The sequence below is a fragment of the Homo sapiens genome, chromosome 7 (genome assembly GCF_000001405.40).
Source record: "Homo sapiens chromosome 7, GRCh38.p14 Primary Assembly".
In the NCBI taxonomy this organism is placed as follows: Eukaryota; Metazoa; Chordata; class Mammalia; order Primates; family Hominidae; genus Homo; species Homo sapiens.
In genome coordinates, this window is record NC_000007.14 from 121,928,024 (window position 1) to 121,946,410 (window position 18,387).

Below are 18,387 nucleotides of genomic sequence, written 5' to 3' on the forward strand. Positions count from 1 at the left end.
AGAGAACACATTGAGAAGATGACATGGAAAGGAGTAATCAAGAACTATTTATGGTATGAATAATTTGGGCATCTTTTATTTTTGGACATATATTTTTCTACATACTGATTACTTGGTTTTTCTTTTTTATAGATTGGGCTAATGGATACTACAGACAACAGAGAAAACTTGTTGAAGAGATTGGCTGGTCCTATACAGGTAAACATATTACTTATATAATGAGATTTAGCAGAAACTTTTATTGTTTTGTATCTATTTTTATATATAAAAGGAAGCTTTGTAGCACAACACATCATGTCAACTTAGCTAAATGGATAGTTAGATTAATTAATAGATATATAAAATATAAAACGATATCTTATGGGCTTTCCATAAACAAATTTGGTAATGTAGGGCTTATTGACATCCACCCAAACTGTATTTGAAGCTCAGGCCCAAGCTGTCTATATACCTTCAAGAAATAACATAACCTGGGGCTCTGTTTTTTTCAACGGTGAAATGGGGGGCTGTTCTGAGCATTAAATGAGATAAATAAAGTGTGAAGCACTTGTCACAGAGCCTGCTTCTAAACAGAAAGCTCTCAACAAATGTTAGCTGCTGGAGTTGTTATGATCATGCTAATGATTATTTTTGTTCATTTAACAAATATTGATGGGATTCTTGCTCTCAGAAGGGGCATTCTTCTGAATTACTGTTGTTAATTTATTGGTGTTAGAGTAAAAAATGATTTTGTCACATTACTAGACTTTGCCTAGAACATTATGAACATCTGAAGTTGGCTTGAAATAGTTACAACCAAAAATCATCAGCAGAAACTCTGGGAGAGAAAGTTCTAGCCCTGAGTGGAAGAATATGAGTGGAATTTGGGTGAACCATGACATGCCTAGTAACCATGTGGGATGGAGTTGAGCATTAGAGTTGGGTACTCATTAGCAGTAAACTTGGGTTGATAAGATAAAGTCAGATTACAAGGGCTTTACCATGAGCCTGGCCAATTTTACTTAATAGATGAAGTGCAGAAGCATGCTGAATTTTGTAGATAAGGATGTATTTTCTTTCTTCTTTTTAATTGCTATTTTAAAAGTAGTAAATATTCATTGTAGAAAATTTAGAAATAGGTTCAAGTACAAAGAAAAACATAAAATCATTATTTTATTTCCCTCAGGAATAGCCACTTAAAAAACTGCTATAGTCCTTTTAGACAGTTTTTATTATCCAAAATTTATATATTTTATTTATAGAGTTATGCATGCAGTTTACTCTTAAAATTATATTTATTTCCTCATTTTAATATTCCTGCTGATCATGATAGTTAATCTGCTTACTAATCCATTGAATAATTTTTTTATTATGTAACCACTTCCTTATTTTTGTATATTTAAGCTTCTATAAGCAATGACAGATGAATTGACAGATAGATGTGTTTTTATTTTTATTACTTCTGTGCTATAGAATTATTGATATGCAATTACCGAGTAGGAAAAAAAAAAAAAAAACTTTCAAGCCAGGTGTGGTGGCTCAAGCCTGTAATCCCAGCACTTTGGGAGGCTGAGGTGGGTAGATCACAAGGTCAGGAGTTCGAGATCAGCCTGGCCAACATGGTGAAAACCCATCTCTACTAAAAATACAAAAAAATTAGCCAGGCATGTTGGCGCATGCTTCTAATCCCAGCTACTTAGGAGGCTGAGGCAGGAGAATTGCTTGAACCCAGGAGGCGGAGGTTGCAGTGAGCCGAGATCACGCCACTGCACTCCAGCCTGGGTGACAGAGCAAGACTCCATCTCAAAAAAAAAATAAAAATAAAAAATAAATAAATAAATAAATAAATAAATAAATAGATTTGTGATGCACACTGCCTAAATGCTTCCTAGATGGGTTACACTCATCTGTCATATAAATGACTACCCCACTGTATACTACCCAAGATTGATGATTGTCATATTGAAAATCTTTATGAATTCAACAGATTTTTAAAAATCATGTTTTGTTACTTTAATTTGCTTTTTTTTTATTACCACTGAAGTCATGATTTTAATTTTTTATTAGCCATTTGCACTATACCTCTTCAGTGCAATAAGTTAAATTAGAACCTGGAAAACAATCAAGATGTTTATCAGAGCAGGAAGAGTGAACAAATTAAGGCACATCTCGACTGTGGAGTACTCTGCAGATGGGTATGAGGTAGACCTCTGTAATATTGTACAGAAAGACCTACTATTAATTTACTCATTTATAATAAGGACCCATACATCTATAAAATACTACTTTTGATATTTTAAATCCTAAAAAATACATAAAAGCAAAAATTATTCATAATTTGACTCCATTTTGAATTAAATGGAATTTTCTTTTTTATTTTTCTATGTAAACAAATTATACCCAATTTAATAAACATCAGCAAACTCTATTTACTTGAGGAATTTCTTTTTTCAGAAAACATGAAGTTTAATCAAAAAGGTTGTTGGACCAAAGGGCCTACCTATTTATAATATTAACAGATATGTTCAAATTAATTTCAGAAAATTGTGTTAAAATTATCTATTTCCCCACATTTTCACTAACACTGACTCTAAAAATCTAGTCAATTTGATTAGTCAAAAATGGAGTCTAAATTTTAATTTGTATTTCCCTGATTACCTACAAATTTTTCTATTATGTTTTTGTATGTACTACCAATTGGGTATATGTTTATTAAATAATGTAGTATTGTCTTTTAAAAAACTTTATAATTTTATATACTTTATAACTTTACATCTGACAATTGTAACTCATTTTGTCTTCTTTTCCTACGAAAGAGAAATCCTAGTATTTTATAAAAATCATGACTGTTTTTTAATGCCCCTAATAATTATGAGAAACATGTCAGGAGGGACTAAGAATGCTTAGAGTGCATCCCTAACCATGGAAGATGACATTACAAGGTGAAATCCTTAGTTTTCCTGGAAAATATCTGCCAGTGTCACCATCTGGGCAATATTTAATGCAGGACATCTTTTTAAATGATTCATTTAAATATTGCTAGTTGTGGTTTCGGAATGCTACTTCCAGGATAAGCTTTTCCCCAAGAGGTTCTTTATGAGTATTAAAGTTCTACATGTTTGGGCCTTTTATGTTTATATTTTTATTTTTAATTCCTAAGAATATCACAAGCCATCTTTTAAAAATTCACTATTGTGTTGTTTTTAAGATAATGTTTGCTCCATTAAGAGTAATATATAACTGCTTTAAAAACGTGATACATAGAGATGTTATCACAGAATAAAAGTCAGCCTGGTTTAGTTTTGTCAACAGCTAACTTTCTAGTTTCAGAAGTGAAACTAGAAGGAGGTTATTTTCCTCTAACCAATCAATTTTCAAACAGAGAACTCAGATATTTACCAAGTATGTATGAGTAAAATGAAAAACAAACTTTAATGCACCCTCCACTCTCCCTAAACCCAGAGTTAGAAAACAGAGGACCTACTGCCTAGGGAATAAGAAAATTATAGTTCTCAGCTCCAAGCAAGGGTGGATGTATGTTGACTAATGGAGTGATGGTGGTGTGTGTTTCCCAGCAGCCCAGGGACCCTATGCATCTTGGGTGTGCCTCATAAGGTCAGGAGAAGACAACAGTTTTACCAGGGTTTCAGCAGATATGATAGCAACAGCACATACCATTGTGCAATATCTTATTATCTTAGGAGGCAACCACAGAGCTGCTCCTTTTAATGGGCTGAGTATAGACACAGCACCTATAGAGTGGCTAGGCTTTGACAGATGGGTCTTTGAAGAAACAATGTGTAGTTCTTTGCTTTAAAATCAAGTTGAATCATCTTGCTCATAACCTAAGGCCTATTGGCTTTAGCTTCTTTCAGGAAAGTCTAGTGATCAAAGGGATAGACTCATTAAAGCGTGGTATTTGTTGTAGGGGGGTGGGGTGGCAGATCTCAAAAAGGGATGTTCCAGAGTCAGGGTGAGGATGGAAGCTTACCAAAGTTTTTTAAAGAGTGAATTGCTTTATTTATATTAGTGCTTCCCATTGGTTTGGAAAATTATTCCTAGAATATTTGAGGATCCTAGGAAGAAACTAAAGATGAGTACATTTTACAACCCTTCGTTTAGCTCAAAACTGAGATGACATAATTATTTTGTCTGAATTACTAGACTATCAAAGAGAAAACAAATAAATGAAATTCTTTATCCAAATAAATGTATTTCACCCAAGCAAATTACATTAAAACCAAACCTTTAACGTGGATTATTCACTATAAAGTGAATTATCACTTTTTATTTTTAATACAAATATTTAAAGTTTGGTAGTATTTTTTAATTTCTATGCTATTTTTCCATTTAGAAAATGAACGACTATGCTAACTGCTTGAAATAACTGTATGAAAATAATGAAATGTTAGTCTTATCATTCTTAAATGTAACTAATTTTGTGAATGGCTTGAGGAAATTGGACTTGACCACATTCAGTTCTAGTTTCACCTTAACAGTTTATCTTGTTGAGCTGTATGTTTGTATTCCTTCCCATATTGTCTCATCATTTAAATTTATCAAATTAGTGGCAATCACGGAAGAAATGGCTTGCCCTTGAGTGTCTGAACATATAGGATTCTATTAATAAAAATTACTAAGTACATTATAAGGCTTGTCTGTAAAAGAACTAATAAGCCATTTAGAAATATTACATTACACATCAAACATTATTTAAATGCAATCACTTGAGCTAAAGTAATTATGAAAAAAATTACACAATTATGATATATGAAGTAACAATGTAAATCCCCGCTGGCTACCAGATGGGTGGAGAAAGGGAGGAGAGGTAATACTCTTTTAGTTGTGTTTTATGCATAGGTTAAGAAAAACTTTCTATTCAGGATGTATGCTACAATTATGCTAAGAAATGACAGGGTTGGTAAATACAGTTGACAGTCCCATTTTTAAAAGTTAATATAGGAGGTTGAGCAAGGCTTGCTTGTCACTTTGTGATGAAAGAGTGAATTGTAAATCTGGGAATGTCAGCACTAAGAATCTGACTCTTTCTGTAACAACTTCATTTCATTTAAGGGTTTCAGAAAATAAATGTCACTCTTCCTAGTAACCTTAAGTTTTCTATGACAATTCCTAAACAAAGACAGTTCAGTGAAAAAAAAAAAAAAAGATAAAGTGAAGTCATTTTATTTTTTTTAATCTCATGAACACATAGCCCAAGATTATCCTAGGAGATGTTAAAAATCTTCTTTTCGAGTTGTTAGATCTTTGATTGCAACCTCAAGCAATGATAAGATCATCAGAAATGGGAGTACTTTAACTGCTTTATTCTTAGAAGTAGTACGACAGAAATATAATCTTTATTTTCTGGACTTTAAAAATATTATATTATTTCTTTTTCACCAATCTTTAAAGCAGCTTGAAATTGAAAATTTTATATTGATATGTTCTCAGGTATTCTTAAAACCTTAACACCTTTAAAATTTTAGTTAAAGAATGCATTCGATTCAAATAAGAAAGTATGGCTGTTCTGGTCACACACAAGTCTGTTATACCTCGCTGGATATGCTAGAATGAGAGAGTCTTTAAATATCGAATTGATTCTATTTCTGTAAATAGAATATCCTGTCTAAATAGTCTTTCCATTTTGATAACTGTATGTAGAAAATGCTACTTATAGAAAACAAAAAGGCCATAATTTAAGGTTGTGTATAGTATAGTTTGGTGTTTGGCTTTTATTTTTGGTTTAGTGTTTTATTTCTTTTGGCCCAGGAGAAAGTAAGCCAAATTTTACTCAGAAAGAAAATTTGAATCCATGTAGAATAATGACGGATTTTTGGCCTTTCTTTAACTTCTATAATCTAGAATATCCTTTTAACATATTATATTTTCCTCTTTGATTCACCACTTCTTATATAAACAGACTGTTCCTTTCTAATTTCCAATTGAGCAGTAGAAAAGAGAGTTCCAGAACTCTAACTATAGAATTATCTCATTTCTGTTAAAAAATATGTATTTATATGGACATAGATGAAAGGCTGGAATGATATATACTCTACCCTGTTGACCATGGTTACCCCTGGAGAGTGAGTCTCTAGATGTGGATGAAACCATAGGAGGCAGGAGCTTCACTTCTCACTGTATACTATTCATACTGGAGGAAAAAATAATTTTTGACAAATATGTTGACACAAAATATTTTCAACTTAACGTGAATTAATTTTAGCAAGAAGGGCAAAGGTAGTTGGACAAGAACCGTAGCTTCGTGTAGTCACCTGTCAAAATGTAGGGCCTCTGCTTGGCTGAATCTCAGTGAGAGGATATCACAGACCCTAACAAGAGCATGGACAGTGCTCAGTGCAGGTTTTCTGATCATCATTAACCTACAGACTGACTAGGCTGCTTAAGAGCTCTGCATTTCGAGCTTGCAGTGAGCCGAGATCGCGCCACTGCACTCTAGCCTGGGCAACAAAGCGAGACTCCGTCTCAAAAAAAAAAAAAAAAAAAAAAAAAGCTCTGCATTTCGATTTTCCCGTTTGTAAAATACTTCTTAATAATGCCCAACTTAATTGTGTGCAGATCAAATAGATGCTTCACATTGTTGCAGAAAAGCTCTTTGAGCAAGTACATTATGAATCCAAGTAATTATTATTGAACAGTGTCTTAACTTGATCCCAAACAGATTGAACAAGCCTGGGCCCATCCGATAATCTCACAAGAGGATTTAGAAGTGGTTGATTTGCTTGAATGGATATTATAGACAGATATTTCCTATCATCTGTAGATTTTTTTTAAAGTTTAGCTAAGATTTATATTCTGGTCAAACTTTTTCTATGCTAGATAATGGTGACTAAAGCAAGCCTCGTTGTGGAGGCTGAACAGGGTTCAGTTAAGTGATCTGAAACTCAGAACCTATGTGTATTGACTCTATTCATGAAAATTGCTAAGAGTAGATTTTAGGTGTTCTCACCACACACACACAAAACAGATAAGGATGTGAGGTAACGTATATTTGAATTAGCTCAATTTAGTCATTCCACCGTGTATCCATATTTCACAACCACATGTGTATACAATAAATATATACAATGTGTGTTTGTTGATCAAAAGATAAATAAATATGCTTAACAATTTTATTTGGTCGCAACTCTTATGTAGTATGGACTTAAAAAAATTAAGATGTGGCTACAGAATAGCATCGCAATTAGATAATCATTGTTTATTTTCTCTGCTAGTAAAACTAAATGCTAATGTGTCTCCCCTATTAAAAAAAAAGTTAAAATTGCATAGATTCTTTCCTGAGTCCAGCTTCACAAGTATCATTGCTGGTAGCATCTAGTAGAAGCTTCAATGGGATGGGCAAGTCCTAGCAGCTCAGAATGAGGAAACTTGGCCCCTTCTTCTTCTGTCTGAGCTGGAACTGTCTGGGCTTTGTGTAGGACGCATTGTGCTTCTTCCCCTTGCTGGGCCTCCTTTACTTCAATCTCTGTGGTTTTTGTTTGTTCGTTTGTTCGTTTGTTTTTGTTTTTGTTTTTTGGGGTTTTTTTTGTTTGTTTGTTTGTTTGTTTGTTTGTTTGTTTTGAGAAGGAGTGTCTCACTCAGTCGCCCAGGCTGGAGTGCAGTGGCGCAATCTCGGCTTGCTGCTGCAATCTCCGCCTCCCAGGTTCAAGTGATTCTCCTGCCTCAGCCTCCTGAGTAGCTGGGACTACAGGCGCCCGCCACCACATCCCGGCTAATTTTTTGTATTTTTAGTAGAGATGGGGTTTCACCGTGTTAGCCAGGATGGTCTCAATCTCCTGACCTCGTGATCTGCCCACCTCAGCCTCCCCAAGTGCTGGGATTACAGGTATGAGCCACCTCGCAGAGCCTACTCTCTGTGTTCTTTACTCAGTAGGGCTCTAGTTCGTGAAATAGACACATTTCATAAAAGAAAAAGGGAAGAGAAAATTACATGGCTAATTAAAAGAAATCTAAGTCTAGGCTGCAGTTTGCATTGTCACACAAAATTCACTTAAATGTGTTACACTTTTAGGCAAAATGCCATTATAATAATTTTATGTTGACCTGTGTTGCCCTCCAATTTCATGCATCAGTAAGGGCCTAGTGGAAGGCTTATTTAGTTTCAATTTCCTTTGTTTTCTGTATGGTAATTCTGACTCTTTAAACCAAGAATTTTCAAGGAGCAAAAAGATAAAAAATCATTATCAAGGAGCAAAAAGATAGAAAAATCATTTCTATTATTCAGACAAATTTTTATTAAGTGAAGCATATTTTAATGACTGAGGCACAGAATCACAAAAATTATTTTGAAATATAGTGAGACACATTTTGACTTAGGGATTTTATTTCCTTTATCCCTTAGGAGGAATGTGTATATGGCTGTTTATCCTGTTATCTGTGAATACCATGTGACAACTAAAGAATAAAAATATCAAACTATTAAAGAATTAAAGTTAGTTTTATTCCGAAGCCTGACTGAGGACTATAGACTGAGGCCTATAGCCGGGAGCACTGCTGCTGCACACTGTTGCAGCCACGGCTTTTACACAGGTTGTGGAGGTTCAGTATGTGCAAAATCACATCAGATTCACTCAAAAGTTACGTTAAAGTAGAAACACATCGAGGTTTGGGTGTGAGAGTCTATCTAACTACAGATGACTAAAGTACATTGGTTATAGATTACAGAAGCATAAACACTAACCCCATCAGATGTTATCTTATCTGTAAGAAAAGGCAAAGATTGGGGTCATTTGTCTTCTAGGGAATACAGTGACTTAGGCAAGAGACGTGGGGGCTTTGTGCTGTATCCTCTTTTGTCTTCAAAGCCTCCCTCCAGAGAGTTGCACATTGTCGCAGAGTCAGGAGCTTGTGAAATTACAGTGGCAAACAGAAACGAGCAAACATGCCTTCCTACATTTACCACTTTGTCTCATACCTTTTTCTGCTTAAGCCACATAGTGTTTTGTTCAGATGAGATAACCGCTTGACTGAACCAGAGCTGGGCCTTCTCTTGGCTGGATGCAGAGGATCTTGGAGATCGTCTGTGGCCCTTACTACACCAGCATCCAAACTGTTATAGACTGTTATAGAGCTTCTAACTACCACAGAATATTCTGGTATGCTTACAACAGCTGCACGTATTCATTCTTCAATTGCATAATTGTGCAATTGCACAATTGCACAAGTTTCTTTGGAAGAGAGGGAAACTTGAACCCTATTGAGAGGTAGGGTCCAGACCAGAAGAGCCGTGTTTGATAACCTCAGGACAGTGGGCCTGTTGGAAGCCAGAATCAAGGGAGAGGCAAGGAGGAGCCCCTGAGAGACAGGAGACAGTTGGGGGACTGAGGAAGAAATATGGCAGCAGAGACTGAGGGCAGAGTGGAGCCTGGCACCAGGAGGAGCAGGTTCCCAGTTCATTGTGATGCACCTGGCGGCTCCCCTGGGGCCTTCCCCACCCAGAGTGTTCCTCTTTCTCAAATGCCTACATGCTTTGTCCTGGAAACAACAGAGCCCCAGCAACTCCATAGTGGGGCTCCTCTTCTGAAAGAGGCAGAAATGAGAAGAGGAAGATGCTGGGGGTTCAGCAGCCGAGGTGCATGTGGTGCAGGCATTCAGTCCAATTAAACAGGCACCCAGAGTCAGGGTGGAGACTGATGGTCTGGAGGAAGAAGCAGCAACCTTCAACAAAATCAGATTCTGGTCCATGCAAGCTAAACTTCATTCCCTTAGGGGATGCTATTCAGCTCCCTAATTTAGTAGAATAACTTCTGATGACCAATAAAAAGGAGCCTATATACACACAGGCTGAGGAGACTTAGTGTGATAAGATGGTAGATGCCTTCTGATCGGATTCCATTAATGCCGAGATCCTTAAAGTGTAGAGATCTGAGCCATTATCTTCACAAGTATTGTAAGTGCCAATCTGATATTTTTTTCCCACAAGGAAAACACTTTTTTATTTATCATTATAAAAGTGTGTTCATCTAAGAAAATCATGTATGTATCATATATTTCATATTTCATATGTTTATATATATTTATCTACCTATCTATTAATATCTATCTATTTATCTATATAATTTCACCTTCCAGAGATAACTACTCTTAATGTCTTCTGTTGGGGAAATATAATTAAAAACAAAATCTCCCACCTCAGAAATCCTCTCCATAAATGTAATAACAACAACAACAAAAAGCAGTTTTATTATCAAACAAGCATTAAACCAGAATGTAATACACATCATAGGCAATCACTGAAAGATTGCGAAGATAGGAAGAAATCTCACCCCCCCATATAGCCAAATAGGTACAACCCATTGCATGTTTTCAAGATAAACAATAACTTGTCTTTAAGTAGAAGGACTTGGCAGCAACTTTGTCACACATGGTTCAGCTAAACTTTAACTGGTAATTGGAGTGACTATTTGTGTTACCCTATTGGCTTCATCCAGAGGGAAAATAAACTTCATATTTTTGAGACAAGAGGTAGCTTTACAAGTTGGAGCCAGAGGCTCATGGAAGTTAAGCTCCTGCCTTCCCATAGAAATTGGGAGAGTGGAGCACCATCTTCCTCGATGTTTGCATTTCATAAGGATGGCCCCCGGGTCCTTGAGAAAAACATCCTGGATCATAAAGCTGACAAAGGGCCTATCTAGCTTTCAAAAGGATTGATATACATTGCAAAACAAGGAGAAAGTATTTACAACGATCTCTTTTCTAAAGCAAATGCTCTTTAAAAAAGGACGGGGTGGGGGTGGAGAGAAAAGTGTCTTCCTGGTTTTCAATGGGGAGAATTAAGCCTCTTACTTTTACTTTTTATTTGTCCTTACACTTCCTAATTATGCATCCTGAATTCTGATGGCCTCTTACTAGATGTACTGCTTTTATCTCAATAGTAGTACCTGCTTTTATCTCAATAGTAGTTTGTGAATATCTTTCTAAGTAAATGTAACTAAATCAGTGTGAGGGCAACAGAAAAAATAAGCTTCTACCAGGGCAAAACTTTGACTATCCATGTGTCTGAGGCAGAGACTCACACATAGTAGGAGCCCAATATATATTTGATAGTTGTTACTTTATTTCCAGTCTCATGGGGAACAGAAATAATTTTGCCTGAGAGGAATTGTGACTAGTAATAACATAATTTCAGGGGATCATCCCAAATCCTTCTTGCAACAAATAGATTATACAAAAGATAAACACTGTGGAGTGAGTTCAGAGCAAGGCTTAGCATATAAGAAGTAGCTAAAAATCGTAATGAATTGGAAAACAGGGAAGGCTGCATTTTATAGTGCTTTGCCACCTGGAAATTGAAACAAAGGCAGAGCCACCTAGAACCAGTGCCAAAGCAAATCCAAAACTTGGCATATGCCAAAATATATTACCTCTAAACTCTGTAGTTTCCATTCTTTCATACTTCATTAGCATATCTAGGAAGTAAGATCTATTTGCAGCACTTTGAAAAAAATAAATAAATGACATGTAGTTTTTCTTTTCCAAGACCCTAAAAGTTTGTTCTTGAAGATCAGTTGTATTTATGCATATAACATACTCATATATCATTCAGATTTTTATGTTCAGTCAACTTGTGTTAGAATATGAAGGAGTAAACTTCTCATCAACTCCCTAGCTTGCCTTCTACCTTAATGATATTTTAAACTTACTGACAAAGGAAAATTTAAAGTGTGGATATTATTAGTTTAATCAATACTCATTGGATTGTACAGCGTAAGCCAGACACTGTACTAGGCATCAGAGATGCAGTGATGAGTGTAAGTAATCACAAGTATGCAAACAATAGTGATTAAGCGTGATTTTTTTTTTAAAGCATGGTAAATACCTCATGGAGATGGTGTTAATGTAAGGTACGGAACCCTAATTGGCCTAAGAGTTTCAGGGAAGGCTTACCAGAGAAAGCGACTTTAGATTCAGATAAAGCATAAATAGGAGTTAAATCAACATGGGTGAAAAATTGTGCCAGGCAAAGGGAGCAGCTATCCTAAGATCTGTAGGTGAAGGAGAAATCACTGTGCTCCAGCCTCTACCGCATTCTTCCTGCTTTTGGACAGAAAATTAGGAATGTGATGAGACAAGCTTCTTGGGGCCCACTGAATTAATTCCCATACACTTACCCTATTGAAAATTCTGGATAACAAGATTTATGCCATAGTTTGATTGGCAATGGCTTACATTTTAACTGTTGACTTCTTTGCATTTAAGAGATGTTAGGCATGATTTTACATCAGCACACTAGTTAGGAAACGAAAGGAAAAGGGACTAGTAAAAGAGTCCAAAAGAGAGGGGTATGAGAAAAGGAGCTTTACCTACTCCAAGAGGGGTACAGCTTCAAGTTGATAGGATTAATCAACATTGTCACACATAGTTCTGGGGAGTTCATAGTGAGATAAAGACTATGGACTTGGATGTATTTTAATGAAGCAGGTTGTAGTGGGGATTCTTTTGTTAGTTTGTCTGATGGGAATACAAGCTCCAGAGACAGTCCTACTCTTTCCTTCTAATCTGGGCTCCATCTTACATGTCATCTTTTTTGTCCCAAAGTTTTTCACCTGTAAAAAGAACTAATGTTAGTACCAAGCTCAGCAGGTGCTGCAATGATTACATGTGTAAGTATATACAAAGCAGTTAGAATAGTGTCTGGTGCATATAAAGTGCTCAATAAAATTATTATTTAAAGTCAGATAAATCTTCTGTCATATTCAGGACTTCTGACAGGTTTATGTCCATCACGCAATTATCTTTCAATAGTACAGATATAATTATATGATTCTCCCCATCACCTGCCAAATGAAAAAAAAAAAAGGGCTCTTTAGCTTGGCATATAATGGCTTTAATGAGCTGGCCCACCTATCCTGTTTCATTCCTCATGATTACCTTCCCCCTGCCTGCTGCTATACCAGCCTTTTCAAAAGCAGGTCTCTCCGATTCTGTTTATAATCCTGCCTGAATAGCAGACTATGCACCTTCTTCAAGTGAAGCCTTCTTTCCTGACTCTTCTTTTCTGCAGGCCAGAGCACATCCCTTGCTTTCATACACTGTCCCTGTCCCTCTCTCTTTGTTGCAGTGCAGCAGCATAACAGGTTGCATGTCTCACTCATCTTCCCTTGTTCAGAATGTAGTACCTCATGTGTGCTCAGGAAGTGTGTATGGCATGAATGGACAAAGCTACGTGGATTGAGCTTTTGTTTTACAAATGGAGAAATAAAGAGACGTAGTCATTTGCCTAGAGTCACAAAGTAAGCAGAAGACTGGAAACTTGGACCTGGGTTTTGACTCCTAGGGCCCTGGCCAGAGAATTTCTGTGGCCACATCTGATTTTTTGTTTGTTTGTTTTTGTGTTGTTTAAGTGATGTGGGAAATAATATAAGATATAAAGCTGTTAGGCTTTGAGTTCTTGTGTAAATATAAAAACTTCTGGTTCCAAAGCCTTGTGTATGGTCTTCTTAGCCTTTATGCATGTCTTCTTAGGAAATTTGTAAGAGCAGTCATTTCTGGAAAGTGGAATTGCAAGTGCCCTTTATTTTCATCTGTTTGCTTGTCCAGCATCTTCTAGTTTTTCTAGACTAAACATATATTTGTTTTATAATCAGGTGTGGGAAAAGGGAGCTTAAATGTCTAAATTAATTTTTATTCCAGGATTATTAAGAGATTGTTTTTGCATCATGGAATGTCTTCTGCCTTTTGATATTTCCTCATTTTATAATGGTCCTTTTATGTATCTGAGGGGCCTGTGTCTGGGCCTATTTCTACTTCACTGTACCAGGTGAACTTCTTTACCAAGCAATAAAGTCAGAAATGGTATATTAATCACCTATGTCCTTAAGGAGTGATAATAAATAGTAATTAGTGTGAAAATATATTCTCTTAGGAAAACGGTCATATTATACATTTGCATTTTATCTGGACTTCATCTAGCCAGGATTCCACTGAGGGCACTTAAAGGATCACACAACTTGATTTTCTTCTCTGCTGTGACACAATAGCCTCACTTTGCATTCGTTTCACAATCTGGGATCATTATCCAAGCTCAGTGAGAATCAATTTCTCATAGATGATTGCCTGAATCACTGCCAGCTCAGCCACATTTTTTACATCATTTACCAGGAAGTATAGTTTTTAAAAAGTCAGAACAATTGTGCAGGTAACCCAGAACCTGAATATGCCCTCAAAATATTCTTCAGAGGGGTCACCCACCCCTGAAACTCAAAGTCTTCTGCAAATTGATTGACAATGTTACTGACCTGTAAATCAAAGGATTCCCCATTTCAATTCACCATTTTCTAAGTGAGTCTCTATTGACATGAAAGAGTTCATTCTCTTTTGAAAGAAAAGTTCATCTTTAGAGAGCAGCCTCAATTGTTTGCTTTTTAGCAGAATAATTACATCTTTAATTTCTGTGGAGATAATGAAGAAAGCCAGTTTAGGATATATTTATGAGGTTTCAGAGTATATTTGGGGAGAAAATTCTATAACTTTTAAATATGATTCTTTAGCTTCAAAACGTACATGTTTAGGTAAATTGCAATAACTGTTTTACTTTCATTTATGGTGATTGCTTGTTCATGCTTGAGCACAAGAGAGAAAGCTTGATTTAAAACGTAAGTCTCATTGATGAGTTTTTATGCCACCATCATTTTAAAAAGTAAATTTAGTAGAAAGCTAATTTTGGCATATAATGCAAATTCCTCTACTTTATCTGGCCTTCATTTAATGATTTTGGAGTTATCACTGCAAGGTGTTTATATAGATTAGATACCACAGAGATCTAAGGAACTATATTTATTTGATCCTAATTAATATTTGGCCTTAAATAGATAGTCACACCACTTTCCAATTTCCTAATTTTAAGCAATTAAACAGCTAGCAGCTGTTGGCCAGATAAATATTAAACTTTGCCAAGTAGATATATGCAAGTTTTTTAACCATATTTGGACTATATTAGAATAGATTACAAAATGTGTTGACATCATATACTTTAGAAGATTGTATGTTACAGGTTCATACTGAACAATTATTTATTATCTGTTTGGTATTGTTAAAACTCATGCTAAAATATCATGGATAGTTGTATACTATCTATGCATGCCGGCTCATAGTATGTGAAGACACATCAAATAAAAACTCCTATGACTATCTTTACAAGCGTGCTTTGTATTTAAATAACATTAAAGATAATTAAATATTGTGTTAGTGAGGAACTTTATTTCCTTATTTGGAATATTCTTAAACTTTTACAGTATGTTCTTTTTTTGACAGTGAAATTGTCAAATGAGCAATCACAATGATAAAGAATGAAACCATAAGTAGTGTAGAATGTATTTATGTATTTATTTATTTTTTTGAGATGGAGTCTCTATCGCCCAGGCTGGAGTGCAGTGGCGCGATCTCGGCTCACTGCAAGCTCCACCTCCCGGGTTCACGCCATTCTCCTGCCTCAGCCTCCCAAGTAGCTGGGACTACAGGTGCCCGCCACCATGCCCGGCTAATTTTTTTTTGTATTTTTAGTAGAGATGGGGCTTTACCGTGTTAGCCAGGATGGTCTCGATCTCCTGACCTCGTGATCCTCCCGCCTCGGCCTCCCAACGTGCTGGGATTACAGGCGTGAGCCACTGCGCCCGGCCAATAATGGAGAATTTAAAGCAGTGGTTCCTAAATTTTAGAGACCATCAGAATTACCTGGAGGGCTTACTGAAAAAAGATTACTGGTCCTGATTTTCAGAGTTTCTGATTCAGTAAATCTGAGATAGAAGCCACAAATTTAATGTCTAACAAATTCTCAGGTGTTCCTGATACTGCAGATCTGAGGAGCCAAACGTTGCAGTGTCTAGACTCTAGGTCAATCTCAGCTTATGTTATCTTAATTTGGGGAATGAATGAATGATGGAGTGAAGAAGAGAAAGCACATGCATGAATATATTTATTTGTGTAAAAGTGCTTCAGCTCTCTGGATGAGGTATATTGACATTTAAAAAGTAGCAGTATTGCCTCAGTGTAACATGTAACAACATTGAAAATGCTATTTTCAAAAGCTGCTATCTGCATCAATAGAGATGAGTTAAGTTTTTGGACAATTTTTAATGCAACTTGCATTAATTTCCCCATCTGGATGGGGCCTCTTTACCTACATAGGGAAATTCCTGGCCTAGGTGGATCCAGCAAATCCTTCATTACTGAATCTGGCTGTAAGTTATCTTTACCTTACACTACTCTTGACACATTTATCCCTAGCAATTTCCAAGGAAATTTCCTTTTTTATAATCTTTGTATTTACCTGACTCCAGAAGATCCTGGGTCCTGAAAATATTAAGATTGTGTTTTTCATTCTTATATATATATTTTTAAGTTTTTAAAGCCTGGTAGTAGAGTCCTTTTAAATTGTGTTGTTAATAATCCTAATAATAATAATTTCCTTCTAATATTTTTGGCTGTTGGTAATGTAATTTATGGGTATATCCAAAATTTTTAAAATAGGATCTGAATATTTCTGGATTTCTATTCAGTAAAAGTTGTTATTCATTCTTTGCTTCAGTAGCTGTTTGGAGTTAAACAACTCATGTAATTGTCACTTTTCAAGTCAATAATGTAAACCCCACAGGACAAATTATTTTAGTGCCATACTTACAGATTACATTTTTTTTTTAAAGACAGTCTTGTCTTGCTCTGTCTCCCAGGCTGGAGTGCAGTGGGGTGATCTCAGCTCACTGCAACCTCTGCCTTTCAGGTTCAAGCAATTCTCCTGCCTCAGCCTCCCGAGTAGCTGGGACTACAGGCAGGCACCACCATGTCCAGCTAATTTTTATATTTTTAGTAGAGACGGGGTTTCAACATGTTGGCCAGGCTGGTTTCTCACTCCTGACCTCAGGTAATCCACCTGATTCGGCCTCCTTTAGCGCTGGAATTACAGCGCAAGCCACCATACCCGGCCCAGATTACATTTTTTGTCATTGGGCTCCATTTTTCTTGAAATTTAGTCTGTAACCCTGGGGAGTATGTTTGAAAGTTTTAATAGTTGTCCAAAAAAATGTTATCTGTCAGTTCCCATTACTCTAGCAGAGGATTTATTTGAAAATCTCATAATGAATGGTAGAGCCTGCATTTGTTGTGTAATAATTTCATTCACTTATTCATATATTCAACACATCTTAATTAAGCACTCCTATCTGCCAGCAGAAAATAAAAAAGACTAAGTGCCCCAGATGGAGCTTGAATTCTAAAATAACAGAGAACAAATATCTATAGGTAAAGGAAATGACTCACAGTGACACATTAAACTATACTGTGTAAGATGCAGTCTCATTCATGAATATTGAGTACAGTCATTTTAGACTATTATTCTCTGGAGATATTCTAGAATTATAGAGATTAAAACCATTGATACATGTAGATCAACAGCTACTAAATTTTGAAGATCAAGCCATTGTCTTTTTTTAAGTAGGTAATTTTTTTGGTACATTTTCAAAGTTGTAAGTTTTGCAAATTCATTTTTTTATTTTTCATTTCCTCAGACTCAATATTCCCCCTTGGCTTAGGAGGATTCACAGTATACCTCCAGGTTACATGAGTAGCTCCAATCAAGCCATGCCTAATAATGAGCTAGTTCATGTGGGGAACTCCTGAAAAATGACTGAGCTCATCCCAGTTCTCACAGATATTTGCAACCAGTCATACCTACTTCTCCTTTAAATTCTGTACCTCTTCTTATACACACCCTAGAGACAGTGTGCCAAGCATAACATCTTAATCTATGCCCAATGCAAGAAGGAATTCTCTCTCTTTTTAAAGCCATGGAAAACTCCTCGTAGTTTAAAGACAGCCTCTTCTCCACCTCCCTAGGAAGAATGTTAGACTTAGTGATGGGGTAATTTTCTCAAAAGTTTGTAAAAAAGCAGCTTGTCATTTTGGTCATATTATTACCATTAAGTACAGGAAGTTACCTTCAGAGTAGAATTCAGTAGGCACCATTCCCTAAGTGTAAATCTCCTTCACTCATTAAAAGTTCTGCACCACACCCACACTGTATATAGTATTGGAAGTTGCTCAGGAGTCTTGGCTGCTAGTAAGAGAAGCCTGAGAAGTACTCATGCTCTGATCTGAGTGGGAAATAGTTGTTCAGTGCTCTTGAAATTGAAACAAGAATTTTCTTTCAACCAGAGAAATGGGAAAGGATTTAGTGATTGCCTGTAAAAACCTAAGGAACTGTTCAACTATATAGAGCCACTGTTTGGCCGCATGGAGGATCTTAACACATCCCTAGGTATTCCTGTATGTGGTAATAACCACAGACATGGGAACAGCTTTTGAATCCTAAGACCTGTACCCCAGTGAATATAATGAGAGAGAATATAAGTCAGAGAGGGAATTCAAATTGTTCCTCTGGGAGCCTGAGAAATGTAA

At 36.2% G+C, this 18,387-nt stretch overlaps 1 protein-coding gene across 5 annotated transcripts in view, besides 4 other annotated features; it reads left to right on the forward strand.

Moving 5' to 3' along the window:
* The window catches only part of PTPRZ1 (protein tyrosine phosphatase receptor type Z1), a 188,876-nt gene that overhangs the window by 54,863 nt on the left and 115,626 nt on the right, over positions 1-18,387 (forward strand). For all 5 annotated transcript variants that reach the window (NM_001369396.1, NM_002851.3, NM_001369395.1 and 2 more), the window contains one exon: positions 133-198. In NM_001369396.1, coding sequence (NP_001356325.1) covers positions 133-198 — 66 coding nt within the window. The remainder of the gene's footprint in view (positions 1-132; positions 199-18,387) is intronic.
* Positions 7,124-7,625: an enhancer, noted in NCBI's record as "H3K27ac hESC enhancer chr7:121575201-121575702 (GRCh37/hg19 assembly coordinates)". NCBI's record gives its function as "activates a minimal SCP1, AML or CMV promoter by ChIP-STARR-seq in naive H9 embryonic stem cells {active_cell/tissue: H9 hESC(naive)}" and the evidence as "EXISTENCE:reporter gene assay evidence [ECO:0000049][PMID:30033119]".
* Positions 7,626-8,125: an enhancer, noted in NCBI's record as "H3K27ac hESC enhancer chr7:121575703-121576202 (GRCh37/hg19 assembly coordinates)". NCBI's record gives its function as "activates a minimal SCP1, AML or CMV promoter by ChIP-STARR-seq in naive H9 embryonic stem cells {active_cell/tissue: H9 hESC(naive)}" and the evidence as "EXISTENCE:reporter gene assay evidence [ECO:0000049][PMID:30033119]".
* Positions 10,035-10,571: an enhancer, noted in NCBI's record as "OCT4-NANOG hESC enhancer chr7:121578112-121578648 (GRCh37/hg19 assembly coordinates)". NCBI's record gives its function as "activates a minimal SCP1, AML or CMV promoter by ChIP-STARR-seq in naive and primed H9 embryonic stem cells {active_cell/tissue: H9 hESC(naive and primed)}" and the evidence as "EXISTENCE:reporter gene assay evidence [ECO:0000049][PMID:30033119]".
* Positions 10,572-11,108: an enhancer, noted in NCBI's record as "OCT4-NANOG hESC enhancer chr7:121578649-121579185 (GRCh37/hg19 assembly coordinates)". NCBI's record gives its function as "activates a minimal SCP1, AML or CMV promoter by ChIP-STARR-seq in naive and primed H9 embryonic stem cells {active_cell/tissue: H9 hESC(naive and primed)}" and the evidence as "EXISTENCE:reporter gene assay evidence [ECO:0000049][PMID:30033119]".